The sequence below is a fragment of the Homo sapiens genome, chromosome 4 (assembly GCF_000001405.40).
Source record: "Homo sapiens chromosome 4, GRCh38.p14 Primary Assembly".
In the NCBI taxonomy this organism is placed as follows: domain Eukaryota; kingdom Metazoa; phylum Chordata; class Mammalia; order Primates; family Hominidae; genus Homo; species Homo sapiens.
In genome coordinates, this window is record NC_000004.12 from 145744958 (window position 1) to 145772912 (window position 27955).

At 41.2% G+C, this 27955-nt stretch overlaps 2 protein-coding genes across 26 annotated transcripts in view, besides 2 other annotated features; one reads left to right on the top strand and one right to left on the bottom strand.

Moving 5' to 3' along the window:
- The window catches only part of C4orf51 (chromosome 4 open reading frame 51), a 112298-nt gene that overhangs the window by 64812 nt on the left and 19531 nt on the right, over positions 1-27955 (top strand). For 2 of the 10 annotated variants that reach the window (XM_047416083.1, XM_047416078.1), the window contains exons 7-9: positions 26031-26074; positions 26626-26707; positions 27868-27938. The gene's annotated coding sequence lies outside the window, so the exon portion shown is untranslated. Of the gene's footprint in view, positions 1-6429; positions 6492-9249; positions 9400-10596; positions 10833-26030; positions 27939-27955 lie in introns of those variants that run through there. The other 8 variants (XM_047416086.1, XM_047416085.1, XM_047416082.1 and 5 more) reach the window with 7 other exon arrangements.
- The window catches only part of ZNF827 (zinc finger protein 827), a 181197-nt gene continuing 165911 nt past the window's right edge, over positions 12670-27955 (bottom strand). For 10 of the 16 annotated variants that reach the window (XM_047449635.1, XM_017007768.3, XM_017007770.3 and 7 more), the window contains 3 exons: positions 20590-20781; positions 20031-20208; positions 12670-16641 (listed from right to left, as the gene is read on the bottom strand). In XM_047449635.1, the coding sequence (XP_047305591.1) occupies positions 15822-16641; positions 20031-20208; positions 20590-20781 (1190 nt within the window). In that variant the 3' untranslated portion in view covers positions 12670-15821. Of the gene's footprint in view, positions 16642-18132; positions 18512-20017; positions 20209-20589; positions 20782-27955 lie in introns of those variants that run through there. The other 6 variants (XM_047449638.1, XM_047449639.1, NM_001306215.2 and 3 more) reach the window with 5 other exon arrangements.
- Positions 17466-17967: an enhancer, noted in NCBI's record as "H3K4me1 hESC enhancer chr4:146683575-146684076 (GRCh37/hg19 assembly coordinates)". NCBI's record gives its function as "activates a minimal SCP1, AML or CMV promoter by ChIP-STARR-seq in primed H9 embryonic stem cells {active_cell/tissue: H9 hESC(primed)}" and the evidence as "EXISTENCE:reporter gene assay evidence [ECO:0000049][PMID:30033119]".
- Positions 17968-18467: an enhancer, noted in NCBI's record as "H3K4me1 hESC enhancer chr4:146684077-146684576 (GRCh37/hg19 assembly coordinates)". NCBI's record gives its function as "activates a minimal SCP1, AML or CMV promoter by ChIP-STARR-seq in primed H9 embryonic stem cells {active_cell/tissue: H9 hESC(primed)}" and the evidence as "EXISTENCE:reporter gene assay evidence [ECO:0000049][PMID:30033119]".

A 27955-nucleotide genomic window follows, 5' to 3' on the forward strand; every position in this document is an offset into this window, starting at 1 on the left:
GAGGTATTCATTCTGATTAATAAGATATCTTTGACCCTTAGTTTTTCTTTTCATACATTTTCATCAATCTGTTTTTATATTAAATAGAACAAAGAAAAAATGAAAAATTTTGTCTTTAAACAATTATTTTAATGGGTACATAGTAGGTATATATACTTATGGGGTAGATGAGATAATTTGATGCAGCATGCAATGCATAACAATCACGTCAGGGTAAATGGGGTATCCATCACCCAAGCATGTATCCTTTGTGTTGCAAACAATCCAATTATTCTCTTTTAGTTATTATAAAATGTACAATTAGATTATCATCGACTATAAGACACACTGTTGTGGTATCAAATACTAGGTCTTATTCATTCATTTTTTTTTTTTTTTTTGGTACCCATTAGCCATTCCCACTTCCCCCTAACCCCCTAGAACCCTTCCCAGACTCTGGTAATCATTCTTCTACTCTCCATCTCCATGAGTTCAATTGTTTTAACTTTTAGATCCCACAAATATGTAAGAACATGTCAAATTTGTCTATGTCCAGCTTATTTCACTTAACATAACAATCTCCAGTTCCATCTATGCTGTTGCAAATGATTGGATCTCATTCTTCTTTATAGCTGAATAGTACTCCATTGTGTATATTTACCACATTTTCTTTATCCTTTCATCTGTTGATGGACACTTAGGTTGCTTCCAAATCTTGGCTATTGTGAACAGTGGCGTGAGAAATATGGAAGTGCTGATACCTCTTCAATATACTGATTTCTTTTCCTTTGGGTATATACCTAGCAGTGAAATTGCTGGATCATATGGTGGCTCTATTTTTAGTTTTTTGAGGAACCTCCAAACTGTTCTCCATAGTGGTTGTACTAATTTACATTCCCACCAACAGTGTACTAGGGTTCCCTTTTCTCTACATCCTCACCAGCATTTGTTGTTGCCTGTCTTTTGGATAAAAGCCATTTTAACTTGGGCGAGATGATATCTCATTGTAGTTTTGGTTTGCATTTCTCTGATGATCAGTGATCACTTTTTCATAAACCTGTTTGCCATTTGTATGTCTTCTTTTGAGAAATATGTATTCAAATCTTTTGCCCATTTTAAAATCAGATTATTATAATTTTTTTTCTATGGAGTTGTTTGAACTCCTTATATATTCTGATTACTAATCCCTTGTCAGATGGGTAGTTTGCAAATGTTTTCTCCCATTCTGTGGGTTATCTCTTCACTTTGTTTGTTTCCTTTGGTGTGGAGAAGCTTTTAACTTGATGTGATCCCATTTGCCCATATTTGTTTTAGTTGCCTGTGCTTGTGGGGTATAACTCAAGAAATCTTTGCCCGCTCCAGTGTCTTGGAGAGTTTTCCCAATGTTTTCTTTTAGTTTCATATTTTGAGATCTTAGATACTAGTCTTTAATCCATTTTTATTTGATTTTTGTATATAGTGAGAAATAAGGGTCTAGTTTTATTCTTCTGCATATGGATATCTAGTTTTCCCAGTGCCATTTATTGTAGAGACCATCTTTCCCCCCAAGGTATGTTCTTGGCACCTTTGTCAAAATGAGCTCACTGTAGATGCCTGGACATGTTTCTGGTTCTCTATTTTGTTCCATTGGTCTGTAGGTCTGTTTTTATGCCAGTACCATGCTGTTTTGATTACTACAGCCATGTAGTGTAATTTGAAGTCACATAATGTAATTCCTCTAGTTTTGTTTTTATTGTTCAGGATAGCTTTGGCTATTCTGGGTCTTTTGTGGTTCTATATACACTTTAGAATTTTTTTTTTCTATTTCTTTGAAGAGTGCTGTTGGTATTTTGGTAAGGATTGCATTGAATCTGTACATTGCTGTGGGTAGTATGGACATTTTAACAATATTGATTCTTGCAATCCACAAACATGGAATACCTTTCTTTTTTGTGTCCTCTTCAATTTCTTGCATTAAGGTTTTATAATTTTCATTGTAGAGATCTTTCACTTCTTTGATTAATTTCTAGGTATCATTTTATTTGTAGCTATTGTAAATGGGATCCCTTTTTAAATTTCTTTTTCAGACTGTTTGCTGTTGGCATATAGAAATGCTACTGATTTTTGTACGTTGATTTTGTATTCTGCAGCTTTACTGAATTTATCAGTTCTAATAGTTTTTTGGTGGAGTCTAGGTTTTTTAAAATATAAGGTCCTATCATCTGCAAACAAGGATAATTTAACTTCTTTCTTTCCAATTTGGATGCCCTGTCTTTCTCTTGTCTGATTGCTCTAGCTATGGCTTCCAGTACTATGTTGAATAACAGTGGTAAAAGTAGGCATCTTTGTTGTGTTCCATATCTTAGAGGAAAAGCTTTCAGTTTTTCCCCATTCAGTATGATACTAGCTGTGGATCTGTCATATATGGCTCTAATTATGTTGAGGAGTATTCCTTCTGTGCCCAGTTTTTTGAGGTTTTTTTTTTTTATCATGAAGTGGTGTTGAATTTTAACAATGCTTTTTCCGCATTAATCAAAATGATCATATGGTTTTTGTCTTCTATTCTGTTGATATGATATATTACATTGATTGATTTGCATATGTTGAGCCACGTTTACATTCCTGAGATAAATCCCACTTGGTAATGATGAATAATCCTTTTAATGTGTCATTAAATTCAGTTTGCTAGTGTTTTGTTGAAGATTTTTTCATCAATATCAGTGACATTGATCTTTAGTCTCCCTTCCTCCCCGCTTCTTTCCCTCCCTCCCTCCCTTCCTTCCTTCCTTCTTTCCTTCCTTCCTTCCTCTCTCTCTTTCTCTTTTTCTTTTCCTTCCTTCCTTCCTTCCTCTCTCTTTTCCTTTTGCTTCCTTCCCTCCTTCCTTCCTTGCCACCCTCCCTCCCTCCTTCTTTCTTGTTTTTCTTTCTTTCATGCCTTTGTCTCGTTTTGGTATCAGTGTAATACTGACCTCTTAGAATGAATTTAGAAGTATCCCCTTCTCTCTGTTTCAGAATAGTTTGAGTAGGATTGGTATTACTTCTTAAATGTTTGGTAGAATTCAGCAGTGAAGCCATCATGTCTCAGGCTTTTTTTTGCTGTGGGACTTTTTATTACCACTTTGATCTCGTTACATGTTACTAGTCAAATAACATTCAAGTTATTGGTTCAAGTAACTGGGTTTCTACATGGTTCAATCTTGATAGGTTGTATGCATCTAGAACTTTATCCATTTCTTCTGGATTTTCCAATTTACGGGTATCTAGTTGCTCATAATAGCAACTAATGAGCCTTTGAATTTCTGCAGTATTAGTAGTAATGTTTCCTTTTTCAACTCTGCTTTTATTTATTTGGATCACCTCTCTTTTTTTCTTAGCTAGTCTGGTTAAAGGTTTGTCAAATTTGTTTAGCTTTTCAGAAAACCAACTTTTAATTTCATTGATCTTTTGTATTGTTTTCTTCATTTCAATTTCATGTATTTCTGCTCTAATCCTTATTTCTTTTCTTCTTCAAATTTTGGGTTTAGTTTGCTCTTGCTTTTGTAGTTCTTTAATATACATCATTTGGTTATTTACTTGAAGTTTTTCTTCTTTTTTGATGCAGGCACTTATAGTTATAAACTTCCCTGCTTTTGCTGTATCCCATAGGTTTTGGTATGATGTGTTCCAATTATCATTTGTTTCAAGACATTTTTCAACGTTCTTCTTAATTTCTTCATTGACGCACCGACCATTCAGAAACATATTGTTTGATTTCTATGTATTTGTATAGTTTCCAAAATTCCTCATTATTGATTTCTAGTTTTATTCCAATGTGGTTAGAGGAGATGCTTGATTTTATTTAAATTTATATGTGTTTGTTTCATGAACTAACATATGGTCTATCCTTCAGAATGATTCATGTACTGAGGAGAAGAATGTGTTTTCTATAGCCATTGGATATAATGTTCTATAAATATCGATTAGGTCCATTTGGTCAATAGTGCAGATTAAGTTCAATGTTTAGTTGTTAATTTTCTGTCTGGAAGATATATCCAACGCTGAAGGTGGGATGTTGAAGTCTCCAGCTATTATTGTATTGGGGTCGATGTCTCTCTTTAGCTCTAATAATATTTGCATTATATACCTGGATGCTCCAATGTGTGTGTGTGTGTATATATATATATATATATATGTATATATATTTCAAATTGTTATATCCTCTTGCTGAATTGACCCCTTTATCATTATATAGTGACCCTCTTTGTCTCTTCTTATAATTTTTGAAAACTATTTTGTCTGATATAATTATAATTACTCCTGCTCTTTTTTGGTTTTCATTAGCATGAAATATCTTTTTCCACCCTTTATTTTCAGTCTATGCTTGTCTTCATAGGTGAAGTGTATTTCTTGCAGGCAACAGATCATTGGGTCTTGTTTTTTCATTTGTCTGTTTTAAAATCTATTCAGCTGCTCTATGTCTTTTAATCGGAAAGCTTAGTCCATTTACATTCAGTGTTATTATAGACAAGTGAGGATTTATTCCTGTCATTTTGTTGTTTGTTTTCTGGTTGTTTTGTGGTCTTCCTTCTTTTTTTTTCATTCCTGTCTTCGTTTTAGTGAAGGTGATTTTTCACTGGTGATATGATTTAGTTTCTTACTTTTTATTTTTTGTGTATCTGTTATATGTTTTTTGGTTTGAAGTTACTATGAGATTTGTAAATACTATCTTATCACCCATTTTTTTATTTTTATTTTTTTGAGACAGAGTCTCACTCTGTTGCCCAGGCTGGAGTGCAGTGGTGCAATCTCGCTCACTGCAACCTCCAACTCCCGGGTTCACACCATTCTCCTGCCTCAGCCTCCCGAGTAGCTGGAACTACAGGTGTCCACCACCACACCCAGCTAATTTTTTGTTATTTTTAGTAGAGACGGGGTTTCACTGTGTTAGCCAGGATGGTCTCGATCTCCTGACCTCATGATCTGCCCGCCTCGGCCTCCCAAAGTGCTGGGATTACAGACATGAGCCACCGTGCCCGTCCATCACCCATTATTTTAAACTGGTAACAACTTAACACTGTTAGCCTAAAAAATCAAACAAGCAAACAGAAAACTAATAAAGACTCTACACTTTACCTTCATCTCCCACTTTTTAACTTTTTGTTGTTTCTATTTATCTTCTATATTATCTATGTCTTGAAAAGTTGTTGTAGTTATTATTTTTAATTGGTTCATCTTTTAGTCTATTTAATATGAGAATAGTTTACATATCAGTTACAGAGTTATAATATGCTGTTTTTTTTCTGTGTATTTACATTACCAGTGAGTTTTGTACCTTCAGATGATTTTTTTTATTGCTCATTAACATCCTTTTTTTCCTGATTAAAGAACTCCCTTTAGCATTTCTTGTAGGACAGTTCCATTGTTGATAAAGTCCCTCAGCTTTTTTCTGGGAAAAATCTTTATTTCTCCTTCATGTTTGAAGGATATTTTCACCAGATACACTATTCTAGGGTAAAAGTTTTTTTTTTTTTTTTTTTTTTCCTTTAGCTCTTTAAATATGTCATGCCACTCTCTCTTGGGCTGTAAGGTTTCCACTGAAAAGTCTGCTGCCAAACATATTGGAGCTCCATTGTATGTTACTTGTTTCTTTTCTCTTGCTGCTTTTAGGATCCATTCTTTATCTTTGACCTTTGGGAGTTTGATTTTTAAATGCGTTGAGGTAGTCTTCTTTGGATTAAGTTCACTTGGTGTTCTATAACCTTCTTGTACTTGAATGTTGGTATCTTTCTCTAGGTTTGGGAAGTTCTGTGTTATTTTCCCTTTGAATAAACTTTCTACCCCTATCTATTTCTCTACTTCTTCTTTAAGGCCAATAACTCTTAGATTTGCCCTTGTGAGGCTTTTTTTCTAGATCTTGTAGGAATGTTTAATTCTTTTTAATTCTTTTTTATTTTATCTCCTCTGACTATGTATTTTCAAATACCCTGTCTTCAAGGTCAACAATTCCTTCTGCTTGATCAATTCTGCTGTTAAGAGATTCCGTTGCATTCTTTAGTATGTCAATCACATTTTTCAGCTCCAGAATTTCTGCTTGATTCTTTTTATTTCCATCTTTGCTAAATTTGTCTGACAGAATTCTGATTTCCTTCTCTGTGTTATCTTGAATTTCTCTGAGTTTCCTCAAAACAACTATGTTGAATTCTTTGCCTTCAAGGTCACTTATCTCTGTTGCTCCAGGATTGATCTTGGTGCCTTACTTAGTTCATTTGGTGCGGTCATGTTTTCCTGGATGATCTTGATGCTTGAGGATGTTCAACAATGTCTAGGCATTGAAGAGTTAGGTATTTATTTTAGTCTTTGTAGTCTGGGCTTGTTTGTACCTATCCTTCTTTGAAAGGCTTTCCAATTCTTTGAAGGGACTTGAGTGTTGTGATCTAATTTGTATCTGCATTACGGGACTCCTCCAGCCCAATAATGCTATGGTTCTTGCAGGAGGTAGAGGTACCGCCTTGGTGATCTTGGATAAGATCCAGAAGAATTCTCTGGATTACCAGGTAAATACTTTTGTCTTCTTCCCTTACTTTCTCCCAAACAGAGTCTCTGTGTGTGTTCTGAGCTGCCTGGAACTGGGGATAGAGTGACATAAGCAACCCATCGCACTACCACTGGGACTACACTGGGTCAGACCTGAAGCCAGCACAGCACTGGGTCTTGCCAAAGGCCTACTGTAACTACTGCCTGGCTCTACTTATGTACTTATGTTTGCTCAGGGCCCTAGGGCTGTACGATCATCAAGTGAAGCTAGCCAGGCTTATGTCCTTCCTTTCAGGTCAGTGAGTTCCCCCAGGACCCAGGCAGGCCCAGAGATGCTCTTCAGGAGTCAGGGCCTGGAGTCAAAAACTTTAGAAATCTGCCTCATGCTCTCTTCTACTGTGGCTAAGCTGGTGCTCAAGCCACAAAACAAAGTCCTTCCCACTTTTCCTTTCCCTTTGCACAGGCAGGGGTGCCTCTCTCCATAGCCACCACTACCATCACGTGCCCACAATATGGTGGGTACCGCCAGGTGACTGCTGATGTTCCCTTAAGGCCCAAGGGCTCTTCAGTCAGCTTGTGGTGAATGCTGCCTGGCCTGGGACTCACCTGTCAGGGCAGTGGGCTCCCCTTTGGCCCAGGGCAGGTCCAGAAATGCTGTCCATGAGCCAATGTCTAGAATCAGGAACCTCAAGAGCCTGCTTGGTGCTCTACCCCACTGTGGTCAAGCTGGTACCTAAGGTTCAAGACAAAGTCCCCTTTTGTTTTTCCCTCTGCTTATCTCAAGCAGAAGGAATCTCTCACAGTAGGCACCACAGCTCAGAATGTTCTGGGTCTTATCTGAAGCCAGCAAATCTCAGTCTCACCCAAAGTTCTTGATGTACTATCTGGGTATCGCTGCTGGTTATGCAGGACCCAAGGGATCTTTAGTCAGCAGGTGATGAATGTTGCCAGGAATGGCTCCCTCTCTTCAAGGCAGCAATTTCTTTCTGGCCCAGGATGTGTCTAGAAACGTCCGTGAGCTAGGGCCTGGAATCGGCGCCTTATGACTCTGCCCAGTGCCCTGTGCTACTGTGGCTGAACTGTTATCCAAGTTACAAGACAAAGCCCTCATTTCTCTTCCCTTTTCTCTGCTCAAATGGAAGGAAGTGGTCCATTTTGGAGCTGTAAGCTGTACTGCCTGGGGTTGGTGGAGGGTTGGCATGGGCACTCCCTTAGCTGCCCTGGCTGGTGTCTCAGTAGGTCGTATACCCTCTAAGTTCACTGGTTTCAAGTCCAGCACAGCACTAAGACTTGCCATTCTTGTGGCCTAAGCTGCCTTTTGAGTTTATTTAGGATTTCTGAGCGCTTTAGCTCACAATGGTGTGTCTTGCCTGAACTCAAGTTCCGACCACTTGGATAGGCAATTCCCCTCTGGCTAGGGCTGTTCTAAATGCTGCCAGCATGAGTGGGCATCTGTTGAGTTCAGCCTAGTTTTGTTTTCCACTGTAACAAGGCAGCACTGAGGTCAGTGCAGGGTCCCACAATCGCTGTGCTCTCACTCCCCCAAGTACACAGATCCTGCGTGCCACGTGGCCGCTGCTGGGGGCTGGGGAGGGATGGTCTTGGCAATTTAAGACTGTCTTTTCTACCCTCTTCAGTGCCTTTTTCAGTAATATGAAGTTAAAACCAGGTGCTGTGATTGCTCACCTGATTTTTGGTCTTTATGAAGGTTTTGTGTGTGTGTGTGTGTGTGTGTGTGTGTGTGTGTGTGTAGTTGTTAAATTTGGTGTTTCTGGTGGGGGAAAAAGAGGACGATTGGTGAATGCTTCTATTCGACCAGCTTGCTCCACCCTTGAAAAATATTGTCTTTTAATATGAATCCTAGAATAATAAAATTGATGACCTTCCTTCTGGGTGGTCCCACACATACATATTTATTATGTTTCTATCTTTATTATGTATGTACCTATGCATTCTTTATATATACATTCTATGTATCCATGTGGCCATCCTATCCATCAGTCCATCTTTATCCCAATCTTCCATTAATAATACAACTGCTAGTTGTGTGTCAAAGATGGGAAGAAACAGAGAAAACCCCTATGCTGAATATTTTAATTTTCAATTATCTGTTATGAGTGCACCTACTCCTTGTCCAGCCCCATATTCCTGGGGGAGTTATATGCACAGAGAAGATGTCAGACAAATGTAATCTTTTTATTCCTAGTTGGAGTATGGCTCACAACCCCTTTCATGGTGAGTTTGGACCTAAGAGAGCCACTGGGATGCCTTTTGCTTGGGCTTGAGGCTGCCTGCAGAGGCCTGGGTGGTAACTTGTCCCTATCAGCCCTGTTTTGGCTCTCATATGGCTTTCCTAGGTCAAAGAGGCTATGGTGGAAGGCAGTGCACAACCCTCTCCAGTGGCTTCTCCCTAAAAAGTCCTAGAAGAGCTACATCCCATCAGAGAAATAACACACCCCCAATATGGGAGGACTCTAAAGAGGCCCTGCTACATGAATGAGAAGGCTTTGCCTGCCTCTTAATGTGCCAACTCCTCCATTTCTTAGCATCATGACACAGTGCTGTCCTTGGCTCTGCCCAAGACCATCAGTCCTTCTCAAGAGTAGGGGGCCAGGAGTGGAGGGGAAGTGCGCTGAGTTAACCCAGCAGGGTGGATGGGTAACCAACATTGACCTGGAGGCTAAAGACATGGCAACATTCACACCAAATATGATCATTGTATTGGATACCACTTGTTCCCCATCTCACAGACTCACCTTATTCTACCTTTTGTTGTAGCAACCAGCTCGGGTCAGATGTCATTGACAGGACCTCCTCTTGGCTTCACCAAGTCGCTCTTGCTGCCTGCCCAGGGCTTCTTTGCCACCTCAATATTTAGTGTATTCTTTCATTATGTTAAAACTAAATAAAATGTTTCATTATACCTGCTATAAGAAACCATTTACTCTTCTACAGAAAACATATGAAAAGTGGTTGTCAGAGCTCAGTGGTCACAGTGGCACTGGTGACTTTGAGGAGGCTGGAAGCAATTGGGATGGGAAATGGAGGGAGCAGAGTTGGAGAGATGAAAGTGGGCAGGGCAAAGCCTCTCTATCCATCTGGCAAACCCCTAACTCATCAAACCAGATCAAACAGTTCAGTAAAATATGTTTAAGCCACCCTCAAGACGACTGCAGGCATTCCAAGCATGGAGAGTTAGCTCTAACCAGACAAGGAAAACTTTAAGCCGGGCGCAGTGGCTCGCGCCTGTAATCCCAGCACTTTAGGAGGCCAAGGCAGGAGTATCACTTGAGGTCAGGAGTTCAAGACTGGCCTGGCCAACATGGTGAAACTGCGTCTCTACTAAAAAATATAAAAATTAGCTGGATATGGTGGCATGCATCTGTAATCCCAGCTACTCGGGAGGCTGAGGCAGGAGAATTGCTTGAACCTGGGAGGTGGAGGTTGCAGTGAGCCGAGATCATGCCACTGTACTCCAGCCTGGGAAACAGAATTGAGACTCTGTTTCAAGAAAGAAAAAAGAAGAGAAAAACTTTAGATCTCCCAACCTTTGAAGTGAGCAGAAAAATCTTTTTAGTCATTCTTTTCCCTTCACTGAGCCTGTTGTGACTTGAAAATATTGAGGTGCCATTTTTGCTGTAACTGCCTTACAAGGATTCTGCCTTGCAACCATCTCTTTCAAAAGGCTGACTTTTTCTTGTTTACAACAAGTTGTAGAATCATAGTTGATTATATGTTATATTAGAGTGGGAAGGGGCCTTAGAGATCATTTAGTTCAGCGCCTCTTTTCATAAGATGCTTAACGGTATGTCTTAATCACAGCCCTAGTTTGTGTCTGAGCCAGGTTTGTAACTCAGGTAGCCTGACTCCAAGTAATCCAAATTTTCTCACTATACAGGGTAAAAAACCACCTATAAAGAATTGTGTAGGGGGAAATGATTTTGAAGTGTGAATTGAAGCAGATTCTCTGCTCCAGGTTTATAATTCTACTGAAAACCAAGAACTAATGAACTAATACTTAGCTGTATGAGAAAGGAATTCCAGGGGAATATAGCAATTGGTTTTTCTTTTCCCTTTTGCACCTCCTATCAGTGTGAGCAGGATCTGAATTTTCCTGTTTTACAGATTCAACTACAAAGAAAGAATTATGAACAGAAACTCTACTACTTCATAAAGAAGAAGAGGCCTTGATTAAGAAATAACCCTTCAGATGTTGTACAGGGAAAAACGGGGTGCCCCAATTTCTGGGAGTCACCCCACTTCACTTACCCTGGGGCCTGTTTTACAGGCATTTGCCTGCTTAGTTAATTGTAGTTATTCCCAAAATAAACCCCATTTTGTGTGGGACTCTTCTATTCTGAGGGAATGATGTAAGCAAGAATATTGGCTGGAGTATCTTGAATATCTGTGATAGATGGCTCCTTAGAATGAATCTTAAATCTCCAAGGGACTCCTTTTATCTTGTGATTTTGCTCACAGGTTCTAAGCTGCTGCTGGGAAGGGTTCCAGTTCTATATTCTCTGTCTTCTGGAAGCACTGATGAAATCACTCAGCTGCTACCCGCTTCCATCTCTCACTAAGCACCTCTTGGCTCTCCTTCGTCCCCACAGACTGAAGGCATGGAGGTGACTAATGAGATGTGTCTTCCCCTTCAAATTGTTCACAAGCCCCACATGACCTTTGGCAGGCAGGGGTTCTACTGTGGTGTTTCTGACTGTGGATAAGGGGACATATGTGCTCACCATGGTTTGCTATTTCTCCTTGCTCTCCTGTGACCGGTGCGGCAGCTCAGTTAAATGGTCAGGCATGGTTCATTGGTGGCCCCCAAACAATCCATCAGCAGTGGACACATTATAGAAAACATGGCTTTGAGTCTTAGCTTAAACTATATTTATGTAGCATGACAGTAGGAGAAATATCTAATTGTGCTTGGATTAAAATTCAATCAAAGGCCTCATGACTGGCTTGGAGATGCCGGGGTCCACACACCATGTTTTCCAGAGAAGTCAAGATGAGAGAGGATGTGGTCTGTTCTGTCATGAACAGTTCTGTTTCCAGACCATTTCTCAAAGTCACTGAAGGCCCATTTCTGGGGAAATGATTACTAAACTGATGATTATTTTCTTTGTATTGCTGGCTATTCTCAACTTCAGGGAAAATGTAAGGTAGCTGTGGAGTTTAAGGAAAAAAGAATGTGTACACAAAATGAGAAGCCACACCTGCCTGTAGCACTAGCAAAAATCAAAGAAGTCTGCCTTATTTTAACATTTTCAATAAACACCAGCCACCTCAACACAAAATTAGTATTTGAATCAAATTAACGTATTTGACTCAATCACCTAAAAAATAGCTATTGGATGAAAAAATAAAAGAGAAAATAGTGTCTAATTAGTGACTGGCCATTTTCAAAGTGGCTTCTCCTACATTATCTCATTTTTAAAAAAGTAAATTTGATCTTTTTAAATGTTAGAGTGAAGTGGTTCACAATTGCTTGAAATAAGCAAAGGACATTATATTTATAAGCATGCAAATTACAAACCAGGCAAAACAGTCTCTTCTGCTGCTTTATATATTTTTGTCAACCATCATAGATTCATGGAAAGGTCTCAAATAGATAGAACAAAATGGATTTTAAAAAATTGTTTGAACTTAGCGTGTTTTTCATTTCTTTCTCTCTCTGTCTTTGGTCTCAGTTTCTTTCTCTGGTACCTTCCCTTGAAAGGTGAACTATTATTACTTGCATTTGGATAGATTATTATTTAGTTTGCAAAACATACCATTTTTCCACTCATTAAAATCTCATAGTTGCCCAACTTCATTAAGATAAATGGAATTATTCATCTGTTTTCCCCCCTTTGGCTATGGGGTCAATGAAATGATGTTAAGCAGGAGAGGATAGGGCTGGCAAACACTTTTAAATGTCACTAAGTAATTTCAGGAAGGAGCTGGCCTGCCACTGTCCTGAATGATGGATATGCTCTCAACCTTAATGGCCATTAATGATGTACATAATAACAGTTTGCATTATAACCATCGCTGTTCAACACTTGAATTTTGTGACAGTTATAACCAGGAGTGGACACTTCTGAAATCTGATTAAAATACACAGAGAAGTAAAAAACAGAACAAAGCAAGACATAACCCTGAGACCAACAAGCAGCCAAGGATGGCAAACCAAAAAAGAAAAAGAAACAAGAGTATAGCCAACCTTTTTTTTTTTTTAATTAGAGTATATTATACTTTCAAACTGGATACACTAGAAATTGGCAATGCAACATAAGATGCAAAGGAATATACCAGTTACTGTCAAAATGACCCTGTACAGCCTCGTAATGCAAAAAGCTTTATACAATACAAATTTTCAGTAATGTACACAAACCTTGACAGTATGATCATCTGAACATAATATGAAGAGTTAAAAAAAGGATAGAAGAAAGAAAGTGCTGAGAACCCTAACTGCATTACTATATGGAAAAATAAGCTAGTTTTCATTGAAGAATGCATAGTGACAACAATTGAAGTTAGTTGGTAGGTGAATTTCTCAAAGATGTTAGTGTTTTATACGGAAAGGATATCTATGGAATACATCCTTCCCTGAGTATCAAACTGCAAACCAAATTCAGGGGTACATATTTTCTAGGGTGGAGTCTGAAAAATGCTGTAGATTTTTTTCTTTATTAATAACAATAATAATATAAAAAGTCAAACAAACTCCAAACACACCTTTTCTCACTCAGAAAACTTTTATAATTTACCAGAAAGATTGATGACTCTTTCCAAAGTGCTAAAAAAGTTGCCCAATTATATTAAGCATTACTAAGTCATTCAAATACAAGTTCAGTGGCAAGCAGTGAAATGCATGGCATTTGAGCAGTAAACGTCTCCTTCCTTCACCTCCTCTCGTTCTTGAAAGTTTCAACCCTAGACCTCCTATTGCACAAGTGGCATGCTGTAAAACCTATAGTCTGAATTGTCAGGGCCACCCTTTCAGGTTTTTAACCTGCTGGTGCTTAAGTGTGATTCGCCTTTTCTACCAGCCTCTGTGGGACTACTTTAGCCCTCTTTCCTGTCATCACTGAACTTGTAGTTTTGAAAACACATTATTAGCCAAGTGGCACATTCTCCATTATATGGGGATAAAGACATGACTTGAAAACAAAACAAAACAAAACAAAAAACCAACCCACCCATAAGCCCAGTATTCTTGGAGTGTATTGTCCATAACTATCTATAGTGTCTTTTACTGAGACATTGACGTGGCGAGGTTGAACATCGTTTCAAACCTGGCCAAGAGCAAAGGTCTCTGCTGGAGAATGACTGAGGGTTTGGGAGCTTCCCGCTCCCTGTGGGCATCTCCTTAGTGTAAACAGGTTTGCCAGGGCACCAAGTAGGCTCCCCATCCATGGCGGGATGACTGGCAAAGGGAGGTGTAGCACACCTACTAGGTGTGGGGAAGAGGGGCTGGCGTGGAGGGGACTGAGGAGACCATGGTGTGGACAGACAGTACAGTCTTCTGGCTTCCTGTAGAACTGTACTAATTTCCAGGGAGCTTTCAGCAAAGCAAACTGACTAGAGGAAGAACATTAGGGATGCTTTTATTTTCCCCTGGTGAAACAGATTTTAAAAAACCCCAACTCTTAGGATAACACATGATGGAAAACAGCAACACAGTAAGAAAATGTTCCTCCTGTACACCAGTTCTCCAATAGATAAATAATATATAAACTTTTATATTCCAAACTTCCCATTATTATACAAAGAACATTTCTTCCTGCTCTTTCAGCCTGTTTCATACTGGAAATTCTGTTGTTTTAAAAATACAAGCAATGAACATATTCAGCCAAAGATTTTTTTCCTTTTTTCTTTTTAAATCACCCATTACTTTTTAAGATTAGCAAAGAGCTTTACAACCAACCCACACCTGCTTCCTGCTGCAATAAAGTGCTGCACATAAATTGCCATTTTAATGACCACAAAATAAGAGCTTTTAAATAAGTATAAAGTTAGCCTCCTAGCAGGTTACATCTACCAGGCGTTAACAAAATGGAATACAGAATTACTAATAACATGGAGGATACCACGATTAGCCAGAAGATCGGCAAAACACAATGGAAACTTGTCAGGGGCATAAACTGAACCATAGGACTAAACAGCACCTTTTTGTTGCGTCATTATATGTCAAAGAGGTTGTGGCTAAATCTTCAAACATACAGTCTACTCATTCCATAAAAAAGGTACATTTTCTTCCTTTTATTTTACTTTTTTTTTTTCAGATGAGAAACAAAAACTAGTGCAAGACCATAGCACTGTGCAAAACTGCCATTTCTTTTTTTTAGTCTGAGCATTTATACCCAGAATTTATCCAAACCCCTTTTAATCTCCTTGGCTGGATTTATCAACCATAAATTTTTTCACCCATACATTTCTTTTTCCTGCAAACAAATGGTAACCACTGAATTAATACATCTCATATATATATATAATCTGCCCTTAAAAAATGATGCACTGTGTGTGTGCACCGTACACATTTGTCTACGTGTGGGCACACACACAAAACACACTTAAGTTCTGTGATGTTAGCTGCAGTGCTGCGAGATATTTCTTCCAGATCAGTCACTTGATTCCTCGCCTCTTCATCACCAGAGAAGATCTGAGCGCAAGGTCTCCAGCGCTCTGGCGGAAATCTCCAGCAGCACTGTAGATGGCTACCATTCCTTCATCGACTAAGCACCAGGCCCTACCACTCTGTAGCCATCAAAGAGAGAGGGAAAGGTGATGAAGGAGCACAGGGAGAGACTGTCGTGGATGAACAACCCAGGAGGGAAAAGAACGTTCATCGCTGTTAAAGAAGCCAGTACAAAGAATGTGCAATAGAAATGTCATGGCACACGACACACGGCTTTCTCTTTCAGAATCCACAAACGCCCACACACCGCATTCACCCAACAGAAAACCAAATGCACCAGTATATAAGCTTACAAGTGCTGATTGCTATTAAGGACACTCTCTTTAGGGTTTAACAAGACAAGATTCCTTTCAGAGAAAAGTACGGAGAAGGGCTGAGAGTGGGAGTGGGTGGCTGGGGAGGCATGCCTCTGAAGGTAGAAGTATGCAGTAGGTCACCTCTCTGAAGATTGGATAAAGCAGCTTTCAGGTCAATGCAATAGGTATACACACAGAGCCAATTTTCTATTCCTTACTAAAGATATACAGTACACATGTTCCAGACCCATCGGGGTCTGTAGGTTTTGCAGCAACATACACCTGCTGGGGTTGTGTTTAAGTTTTGTGGTTTTTTTTTTTTTTTTTGTCTTTTGTCTCTCTGTTTTTGGTACAGAACATGGCTGCCCTCAGACAGTCTCTGCTCTTTCTCTCAGTCCGAGATAGGCCAGGAAGGAGTGTTTGGGTGAGGGGATGCTGGGAGGCGCAGTCTGAGGTCGGGGAGGGTGGAATGTGAGATCCAAGTGGTTCTTGGGGTATAACATTGTCAAGGGAATGAGATGGGCAAAATCTGAGTTCCGGTACTTGTCAAAGCGCAAAGGGGAGCCGTTGAAGGCCAAAGCCTTGAGTGCCAGGTTGGGCTCTGAGCTGCTGCCGTGGGCTGCCGACAGGGCCACGGTCTGCAGAGCCTGGGAGGCAGACATAACTGACAGGGGAGACAGGAGATTCCGGGAGCTCCCGACCACCAGGAGCGGGGCCCCCGGGCCGGCCGGTTCCTTGGGGGCTGGACACAGGCCCTTCTTGTCCTCCTCGGGGCAGTCCCCACTCTGGTGCTTCTTGACGTGGCGGCTGAAGACGAAAGGGTGTGTGGTCTTGAACAGGCACTCTTCGCAGCTGAAGGTCTGGCGTGGGGCGTGCTTCAGCTTCTTGTGCAGGTTGAGATTGTCCTTGCGCTTGCAGCTGTAGCTGCACTGGTCACAGTGGAAGGGCCGCTCCCCGGTGTGGACGCGCACGTGCTCGATGAGCTTGTTGGCGGTCTTGGACAGGTAGCCGCACTGGTCGCACTTGTAGTGGTTGCCCAGGCGGTGCTCCCGGGTGTGCGTCTCCAGCTCCAGCTGGTTGGCCTTCACCGTCTGGCAGATCCGGCACTTGTACTCCATCTTGTAGTGGGTCTTGAGGTGGCACTCCATGGCAGCGGGGCGGTTGGTGGAATAAATGCAGAATGGGCACCTGCCGGGGAAAGCAACGCAAGGGAGGTTCAGCCGGGAAGGTTCGGAGGCAGCCGCGCTTCTCGCCGCCTCACCAGCCTTCCCTCACACCACCCCCCAGTGTCTGAGGCCTGGCCTGCCCAGCCCAGCCCAGCCCTGCCGCCTCTCAGGGGTGGAACGGCCCTTTTTGGCTCTCCCTGCTGACAGAGCAGTCCCCGCTGACAAGCAGCTCTGGCAAGGTCCGCTCAGCCTATTCTGGGTCTCTTGGCCGATACAGGCAAGGCCAGCCCTCACCAAGGGGAGCAGAGAAAGTGCCAGGAATCAATTTGCTGGTGCTCCCCTCCAGCCCCCGCCCGGCCCCTCGGAGCCCTCCCCACTCCCGACCAGACAGCGCAGAGGTCTAAACCTCCTGACCTCCCCTCTAGATGGGAGCAACACAAAGAATCGACTTTTCATGCACCACACCAAGCACACGCAGAAAGGCTAAGAGGTTTTAAAGAACAGCTTATAGGGGGAGCGCTACCTCCAGCAAACAGAAAGTCACAGGGGTCAGAATCGTGCTTATTAAGGGTTTGTTAGGATGAGAAGGCCTGTGTGTGTCTCTCTGTGTGAGTGTGTGCATGTGTACATATCTATGTACTCGTAAAACATATCTCCCTACAGGACTAGCTCTTTGTCAGGAAAGGAAGCTGAGGACTATGGCAGGGGCATGGGAGGAGAAGGAAGCCCACCCAACGGCCCATCTGCTAATGAGGAAGGGAGGAGGGAGGGAGACAACTGCTATCTGGAGCTCGAAGACATTATTAATACATGATTATGCCGGAGATAGGATAATAATCCAACTGGATTGGAAATTCTCAGAGGGCAGGACCATATCTTACATTTCCTCTGCATTCTCTGCAGTGCTTGGTAGAGTACTTAACACACGGTAAGCACTCAGGACATACTGGTTCATTATTTGAGTGGTCTCTACAGGCAATTTAGGTAGATTCTGGAAGGGCGGATGCTGGTCCCAGCTCCATCACCTTGTCAGGCTGGAGCTGGACACCCTAGCCTGGGCCTCTCTGTGGCTCGGTTTCTCCATCCTTTGCAGTGAGGCTACGCTACCACCAACCCTCCTGGCTGTCCAGAGGGGCCACGAGGAGTGGTGAGGCCATGTTAACAAACTCTGCTGAGCCTCTCTTTTAGAAGCTGCCAGGCTGGAGTCAGTGGCTTATATGAGAACTGTAGTGTGTTTGCTCTCTTTCCACAAAGAATGCAGATGCAAAAGTGGCTGCCTCAGCTCTTGCTTGGCTCCTGCAGGGCAGGGCTCAGGAGTGGACTGTCCTCGGAGGGTCTGGAGAGGTGTTCAGCAGAGCCCAACACAACCAAGTGCACCGTGCACGGCCTCCTCAGCGCCAAGCTCGCCGTTAGCCTTTGAACCTCAGCTCACAGAAGAGTGCACACGAGAGAAATATAAAGCCCATTCCCAGGTCAGGTGCACACACAACCCCTACGCCAAGCTGGGCCTTACCTAGAGGAGTCTGAAACTCACCACTGTCCTGAGCTACGGCAAAAGAAAAATAATAGTATAATCTTATTTGATCTGCATTATGAACAGGATATAGAGTACAAGCAGTTCCATCACAGAAAAGCAATTTAGACATCAGCAGTCTGTTTCATTTTAAGGACATTTCTGTGACCCACAGCTCAATCTTTCTTTCACTGCTCAGGCAAAGTGCTAAGGGTTTTCCGTGCTCCCGTTATTTTCTTAAAGACACTCTCTCAGGCAAATTAATTCTCTGATATGGCAAAGGAAACAAAACAAAACAAAACAAAGACTCACTGTATAGCCAGAAGGCATTATCAATTTTTTCAAAGTATTCTTCTACTTGGTCATCCTAGAACATAAACTATTACACAGGGGACGGTTAGCACCGCACGGGAAGTGTCTGTACCAGCAAAAGCATCAGAATTCACTGTGCATTCTCCCCAATGGCTTCAGAGGCTGGGGACTTTGGAGGTCCCTGAGGAAAGGCGAACTGGCAAAGCCACAACTGGCAGGGGCTGCAATGTTCATGGGTGTGACTGGGCTACTGGGAAGGGCAGTGAGCACTGGTCCAACCACAGAAAAACATGGTTCTGGTGTTTCTCTTTTTAAAATGAGAGCACACAAATATTTATAAAGGGACAGTGGGAACAAACCAAATCAAATCCCCAAATAAGCTCTTCCTAGGCATTTCCCATCTACTGGTTTCCTTGAATTATAATCACCCCCTCCCCAATCCCTTCTGCCCTCCCCTCCCCCTCCCCCAAGAGTGAAACGAAATGGAGTTCAACGGAGGTCCTGTTGTTCCCTGACTCTTCTATGTGGGGGAGTTTTTGAGGAGGCAGGGGCCTGGGGGGACCCAACCTGCACTGACCCCAACACTCCACTCCCAGGGTCTTTTCCATCTCTCCCTTCCTCACCCATCTAGGGGAGTCATGCCACCTCTCTGGCAGGTTGTGCGTTTCAATGACGAACATGTTTTAAAACAAAAGGTTTTTTCCCCCTTGTGTTAAGTAAAATGTAATTTTTCATTCAACATGATCGTTTAGCTGAGAATTAGTAATTATGCCTTGAAAACTGTGTCTTTCTGTGTCCTCCTACCTGTGCTGCTTTCTCTTTACCAGACCCTAAGTGCCTTGTGAACAGGGACTCTGATTTCACTGTGCAGATGAGGTAGTACTAGGACATACATTTCTTGAGGGTGGAAATGGTGTTTTATTCCTGTGTGCCTGTTGGCACCTGTTATCAAGCCAGACACACAGTACGTTTGATATTAGTTGATTGGTCTCACTTGAGACCAAAGGGCCTCTTGAAAATACTGGTTAAAGATGATGCTCGTTGTCTAGATCTTGGGAAGAAGACATCAGTATGTTTGCAGGAGGATCATGAAGCACATGATCGTTGCATGAAAAATGTTGCTTCCTGCCTGTTCAAACTGTCCAATTTTGGAGGGTGGGGTGGTTGCAATGCTTACTTAAAGGATATGTAGCAAGCCATCGGAAAAACAGAGAAGGTGAATCTCGGTCACAGTATGATTTATGCTTGGGGACACTAAGCCCTGAGTCCATTAAAATCAAGTCTGAACAAAACTCAAGCAGTGTAGTCTATTCTTGCATGCTGGGTTGTTTCAACGTGTCTTTTTTCTTGCCCTGAATCCCGGGGTATTTGCAAAATGGATTCTCCTACTGACATCTGTTGACACCCTAGGGGGACAGGTCTAATTCAATCCAGCTAAAGGCAGCAGGGGTTCCTGACTAACTCCTCTCATACCAAGCTCCCCTTCTCCATGACTCCCAAAACCTTCACGGGAAGGGACGGGGTAGGGAAGGGGAAAGGGTATTTAATAACAACGCAGTAAAAGGTTCTGTACTTGCTTTCCTTACTTGAGCCCACCGGTGGGGACAGTGTGGCATTTCTTATGCTCCAGCAGCTGTTCGGGGGTCTTCATGAACTTGTGGCACACATCACACTCAAACATCCGGGTGATGAGGTGTATCTGCAGATGACGCTCAAACATGTTCTTCGTCTTGCAGACAAAGTTGCAAAAAACACATTCGAACCCTGCAAGGACCGAAGCTGGGTATAGAGGTGCACAGGGCAGCGGGGAGAGGAGGGCAGGAGTGGAGCCAAGCTCCTCCCCACTTCCTCCCGCCTCCTCCGACGCCTGACAGCTATACCCTTCCAGGCACTGTTCCCCATATCTCTGTGCTAAAAGGAGTTAAATGTACAAACATCGGAATCAATGTCACCCTCCCCATCCTTCCACCCCATACTCGGATTCAAATTAAGCCAAAAGAAATACAACCTTTAGGTGAGGCCCAGCATACTGCATCCTGGGCCTATTATCAGTTTTTGACATCGCTCCTGTGCAGGGCTTATTCTCAAGAATGGGTCATCCTGGGTGCGGAGGGTTGAGCAGGCTCACACCCACCTCCTCCTTACCTTTCTCTGGCTTTTCCTCACTGTTCAGTGAGGGCTGGCTCCCAGGCATGACAGAGATGACCAGCAGATTGTTCCCGCCCTTGTTTTTCTGGGAGCCATCTGAATCATCTTTGCTGTTGGCTGAATCACTCAGAGCTGAGAGGGAGGATGAAGAGGGGCTATTTGATTCGCTGGGGGTCTTCCTGTCTTCCCCTGAAAAATAAGCAAATAACCCAGTCTGTTAATGAGATGAAAATCCTCAGAATTATAGCAACTGAGGGTGACGAGTTGAGTCTCATGGATGCATCATCATTCTGGGGGCACAGGCTCATGTCCCCAGCTCCCCCACTGCTGGGGGATCCCAGGTCCTAAGGCACCTACCTCCTTTGTGGTACTGGGGGCCAAGAGCAGGCATTCATTAATTTGACAAGTGTTTATTAAGGTCTTACATGAATTAAAATAAAACGACAGTAATAGCTAAGACATACTAAACATGTTACCACGTTCCAGGAACTGTATTATACTTTAAATTATCTCATTTTGTTTTTTCAAAAATCCTGTGTGGCACAACTGTTATCAGCCCCATTTTACGATGAGGGAATGGAGTCACAGAAAGGTTAATCTGGCCTAGATCATATGGCTGGGAAGTGGTGGAGAAGAGGTTTGAGTTCGTCTGACTCCAGGGTCCATGCTCTTCATCAGTACTCGGGACCCTCTCCCTCAAAGCCAGATACAAACAAGTCAGCAGACCATTAAAATCTAGTGTCAGAAGACTTCTGCTTCTACTCAAGAGAGCGCGTCAGGGACTGGGTTTACCATTACTACTAACAACTGAAAAAAATCAGACAAAATATACCAAATGCTAGTTTTCATATCACTGGATGTTAGGCAATGAAGAAAAGTGGCCCCTGAGAGACAGGAAACAAAAGAGGTGAGCCATATGACTGATCAGTTTCCTGCCTTGAGACTCTCCAGGCTTCATTGCAGAGAGAAGGAACCAGGTGGAACCTGACAGACTCCGAGTGGCGGATACAGAGCTGAGGGTCTGACCAGATTTTGCAGGACGGAGTATCAGAGAGGAAGGGGCAGCACAGAAGAACAACCCCAGAGACACAGAGAGGGTCCCCCTTGAGTATTCAGCAAAGTATGGATCAGAGCACGGGGGTGAAGAGACTACCCATAGTTGGAGGGGGAAAAGCCACCTGAAAAGCTTAGAGAACAGTGCCCGGCACTTAGAGAGGGCTAGAAATAATGCCTGTTTCCACCAGTCAGATTGGAAAAACACAATTTACAGGGCATTAGGTAGAAAACTAAGAAAGGTCTCTTAGTAGTGGGTTAAACCTAGATAAATCACTGCCTAGTGATCTAGACCCGCCAAAGAATCATGAAAGCAAGACCCCAAAGGAACGAGGTTTCCAGGTAGCTATCTGCATCCTAAAACAAAGGTCAAGAGTATGTATAGGAATATAAAATATTAAGCACCCAACATGGTAAAAACCACAATGTCTGCATCCAAAGGTGATCAGATGTGCAAAAAGATAAACACAATTCGAATTGAGAATAATCAACCAATCAAAGGTGACCCAGAACAGACACAGTTGTTAGACTTCGCAGACAAGGACATTAAAACAGTGGTGACTGTATTTCATATGTTCAAGAAGTTAAGTAGAGACATGGATGATATTAAAAAGATCTAAATAAAATTTCTACTGATGAAAACTGCAGTGTCTATTACCAGCAGTAATCCCATTAGACATGGCAGAGGAAAAGATGAGTAAACCTGAAGATAATAGCTATAGAAACTATCTGAAATGAAACAGAAAGGAATCTCCCCAAATGAAAAGAGCATCAGTGAACTGTGGGATGCCTTTGGGAAGCTTAAAATAAGTTTAATTGGAATCCCTGGTGGGGTGGGGAGGGTGGAAATTTGAAATGGCCAAAAATTTTCCAAATTTGAGGAAAATCATAAACCCATAGATCCAAGAAGCTCAATGAACCTCAAGCATAAGAAACACGAAGAAACCTATACAAAAAAAATCATAAATTGCTCAAAATCAGTGCTAAAGAACAAAATCCTGAAAGTAGCCAGAGGAAGAAAGATATGTTATGTGCACAGGAACAAAAACAAGGATGACAGTGGATTTCTCACTGGACACTATGCAAGTAAGAAGACTGTAAAGCAACATCTTTAAAGTACTGAAAGATACACTGTCAACCTAAAATCTTATACCCAGTGAAAATATATTTCAAAAATGAAGGCAACAAACAAAAGCTCACATTAAAACAAATGAAGGAATTCATCACCAGCAGACCTGAATTACAAGAAATGTTCAAAGCCCAGGCAGAAGAAAATGAAACCAGATATAAAACTGATCTACACAAAAGAATGAAGAGGCTGGAAATAATAAATACATGGATAAATTCATAATTTTTAAATTATTGAAATGTCTTTAAAAGATAAAAGTAACATTGTTTAAACAAAAATAACTGTTTTGTAGGGTTTATAAAACATATAAGTAAACATATGACAATAGTATAAACGCTAGGAGGAGAGAAATGGAAGTCTACTTGCGTGAGGTTCTTATACAACATATGAAGTGGTTTAATCAATCATTTGAAGTTTTACTGTGATAAACTAAAGATGTACTCTTTTTTTGGAGACAGGGTCTCACTCTGTTGCCCAAGCTGGAGTACAGTAACGTGATCCCAGCTCACTGCAACCTCCACCTCCCGGGTTCAAGCAATTTTCCTGCCTCAGCCTCCCAAGTAGCTGGGATTACAGGTGTGTGCCATCATGCCTGGCTAATTTTTGTATTTTCAGAAGAGACAGGGTTTCACCATGTTGGCCAGGCTGGTCTTGAACTCCTGACCTCAAGTGATCTGCCCACTTTGGCCTCCCAAAGTACTGGGATTACAAGCATGAGCCACCGTACCTGGCCTAAAGATGTACATTATAAACCCCAAGTAACTGGAGAGCTAGACTTTATTCCTGGTTCAAGAGACTTAAGAATGTTAAGATGTCAATTATCCACAGAATGATTTACAGATTCAACATGACCCCATCGTTTTAGGTTAGGGGAGAAAATATAGGGAGACTGTTCTCCAATTATCTTCAAATCAGTTCATTAAGCAATCTAGTGACTGTAAATGTTAGAACCTAACTTCCTTTATTAGGAGATTAAATTAGCCAGGTGTGGTGGCATATGCCTGTAATCCCAGCTACTTGGGAGGGTGAGGCAGGAGAATCGCTTGAACCCATGGAGGCGGAGTTTGTGGTGAGTGGAGATGGCACCATTGTACTCCAGCCTGGGTGACAGAGCAAGACTCCGTCTCAAAAAAAAAAAAAAAAAAAAAAAAAAAAAAAAATATATATATATATATATATATATATTAGGTATACAAAGTTTGGAAATAGAGCTGTAATGGTGGGTTACATCTAGAGTGTAAAATTATTGGTGTCATGTTTGTTTACTTTTATTCCATTTTCAAAATTTTCTAGAGTGACCATATTTTTAAAAGTTTTTAAAAAGAGAAAGGAAGAAATATGTACCCACTTACAATGTTTTCAAATCCTTTTCCTGTCAGAACTGCACTTAGGGTCCAGGGCAGACAACTCTTACTTCAGTTCACAATTTTAAAAATCTTGCTCCTATTAGAACTGCAAGTATGTGACCTCAGTCACTGACCATGAGGAGCAATGGTATATGACTTTAGACTACAGACTTCTCTCTTGGTACAAGAAAGCTATGTGACAACTAGTACCATTATTGCCATTTGCTTATCAGTATATATTTAACCAGCTTAGTTACATTTTCTAGGTAGAACATTTTTAGCGGAGACCCTGAATCCCTGATACTGCAACTCCATCTTCTAATATTCACCTGTTGCAAGTGATTCTTTTAAATTCATTTTTAGAATTAAAACATATTAATTTCAACTACCATCTCTAAACATAGATTCAAGTACCCTTAGGCTTAAGGCACCAGGCAGAAATACCTAAATTAATAAATGTATAAAGATACAATGTGCTGTGCCAGCCACTCTGTGATGCAGCCCAGCTTGCTCAATGTGTAATCCCTAGTCCAAACAGCCTCTCCTGTTTCTGTCCTCATCTTGTTTTGCTATGTCTGTGGAAAGAGCCAGGGTGCCCTTGCCAGCCAAGTCCAAGGCTAACTGTGACCCAAGTGGTCATTTACCTTCTTCAGCATCACAAAGATCTTGGTGAAGGACACCTGTGCACAGGTGATGCAACTTCACACATTAGGACAACCAGCTGAAGAGAACTTAAAAAACAAAACAAAACCCCTAAATATTGCACAATTTTAAACAGCACAAATTAGGAAATTGAAACCATAAAAAAAATTACCAATCATCTTGCTTCCTCAATACAGACACTGTTACATTTTAGAGTACTTTTCATTCTTAACAAAGTAAGCACTTCTACTTTTAAATTGTTTCCATTAAGATTAAGAATAAAGACTCTAGATCCAGGCTGGGTGCCGTGGCTCACGCCTGTAATCCCAGCACTTTGGGAGGCTGAGGTGGGTGAATTGCCTGAGGCCAGGAGTTTGAGACCAGCCTGGCCAAATGGCAAAACCCCATCTCTACTAAAAATACCAAAAAATAAGCTGGGCGTGGTGCCCCATGCCTATGATCCCAGCTACTCAGGGGGCTGAGACACGAAAATTGCTTGAACTTGAGAGGTGGAGGTTGCAGTGAGCCAAGATCACGCCACTTCACTCCAGCCTCGGCAACAGAGTGAGACCCTGTCTTAAAATAAATAAATAAATAAATAAATAAATAAATAAATAAATAAATAAATAAAATAGATCAGAACATGTGAGTTTGAATCTCACTTCTACCACTTAGTAGCTGTATTATTTTGAACAAGACACTTAACTTTGTGCCTCAATTATCTCATCTATAAAATGGGGATGATATCAGCACTTGCCTCATATGGTGGTTGTGATACTTAAATAGGTTTTTATATGTAAATCATTAAGAACAATGTCTGGATCATGGTAAGCATTATAGAAAATATTATTATTCTATTATAAAACATACATAATAAAATATAATAATAATGATAACTAATACTTTGTATTTTCCCATGCTATTTTAGATATTTGTACAGAGTTGGCTCTCAAAAAATTCTTGAAAATATTTGCATTGTTTTAAATGATTGTATTATATCCATGGAGGGGATTATTCTACTTAAATAGTACCTTAAAATTAAATTTAAAGGTAAAATTAATATTTCACTAATTGAATATTTTCCCATGAATAAATTCCCAGAGATGGGATTACTGGGTCACAGGGCATTACATTTTAAGCCTCTTGGTATATACAGCTTAATTAGTTTCCAAGGAGTTTTACAACTCCGCAGGGCAACAGCAATGTGAGTACCAGCATCATCCCAGCAACAGTGAGTATTAATATCAAATGTTCTCCTAACTTAACAGGTGGAATATAAGCCTCGAGTTTTAGCTGTATGTGTTTCCTTATGGTAAGTGGTTAGCTTTTATTTCCTTCATTGTGAATTGACTGCTCATGTCCTCATATCCTTTGCTAATTCTTCAATTAGAGGCCTAAAGGTTTTCTTAACAGTTTATAGGAATACTCTATGTAGTAAATATATTAACCTTTTGTCATTTTTGTAAACACATTTTTTCAGACCCAGGTTTTGGTTTTGCTTCTCTTTTTCTGTTATTTTGCAAACTGAAGAAATTTTTATGTGTCAGATCTCTCGATTGTTTTCATTTGTGCTTTATTTTATCACTTAAGCTTTTACAAATCCTTCTAGCTCTGGAAGCTTGATAAATATTCTATTTTCTTCAGGCTTTTCTAGGGCTGATTTGTTAATAGGGATTCTGTAAGTTATCTGGAATTTATTTTGGTGTCAATGTGAGGTGAGGTATTGATAGTTGTATTTTCCAAATAGCCATTCAGATTCCTCAATGCCATTTATTGCAACATTTAGAAATTGCAGCAAAATTTGCACTGAAGAAGTCACAAGCACCAAAGGGGATATTTTCCCCTTGTTGATATTCTCTGCAGGGACAAGACGCCAGACAGTGGGAGAAAGAAGGTGAGGAGGGATCACTAAGCGGAAATGCCTAATGAGAGGACAGTTCCTCAGGTATCCCTTTAACATAACCACTCACAGGCATGCCTGGAGTAACACCAACCCATAAGAAAATGTGAGAAAGCATGGGTTCTGTAGGAGACTAAACAAAATGCGTGCTGTTGATTAGAGCTTATCCTGTAGATCACAACTTCACTTAGGTAACAAGATAGCGTGGCAGATTTCCTAAGGTACTGAAATAATAGGGGCCTTTTCCTAAGACAGGAAAATCAAATTAGAGAACAAGGCTCATAAAATTAGAGAATCTTAGGCCTAAGGGCATCTTCTGCGCATCTGAAAATATAGGGAACAGATGGAGGTCCAGAGAAGTTAACTGAGGTCCTACATTCACAATACTACTTATGGTACCATAGGGTCTAGAACCTGGATCGAGAATTCAGTGTGTGCTTTCCTCCATGCCAAGTAACTTCCACATAGATTACAGAAATAAGTCACTAGGACTCTAAGGTTCAAGCAAGGGCCACATCTGAATAGTTTTCTTACTTAGCATGCACAAATGTGCACAGATGAGCTTGCACACAAATATATTCATTCACTGAAGGTACATTGATTCCCCACTTGTACTGTGTAGGGCCTGCTCCAGGTGCTGAGATACAGCAGTGACTTAGATAAGCTCCCTGTTCTTGGGAATATATACTGCTATATATGTCATATAACATATATATTGCTTTATACCCTAACTTTGCAATAGTCCAACTTACTAATTTACAGATTTAGATTGATCTATTTTGGGTCAAACTGAAACATCTCAAAACTATACTAAATACAGGAAACCCTTGCTGTGAGACCATTAGCTTATAATGGGGGTCAGCAAACTACAGTCCTTGGGCTCAAATGAGCCTCCTGTTTTTATAAATAAAGTTTTATTGGAACATGGCCATGCCCACTCATTTGCATATTGTCTACGACTACTTTCAAGTTTCAACAGCCGAGTTGAGTAGTAGTGACAGAAACTGTATGACCTGAAAGCCTAAAATATTTACTATTTGCCCCTTTGAAAAAAGCTTGCAGGACCCTGGCTTATAAAATAGGTTTTAACCTTATTCTTAGAGCAGCAGCATTAAAGGCTCCTACTGAATTAAAAAAGAAACTTCTTTAATGCATTTCACTCTTGGGTGACTGTACTAACAAACAAGAATATTCTTTCCTGCTAGACAATGAGCCCTGAATCCTGCTACATCAGAGAGAACAAGATCTTTGCTTCATTCCCTGTGGTAATTACGAGGTATGTGTTTGCACTGG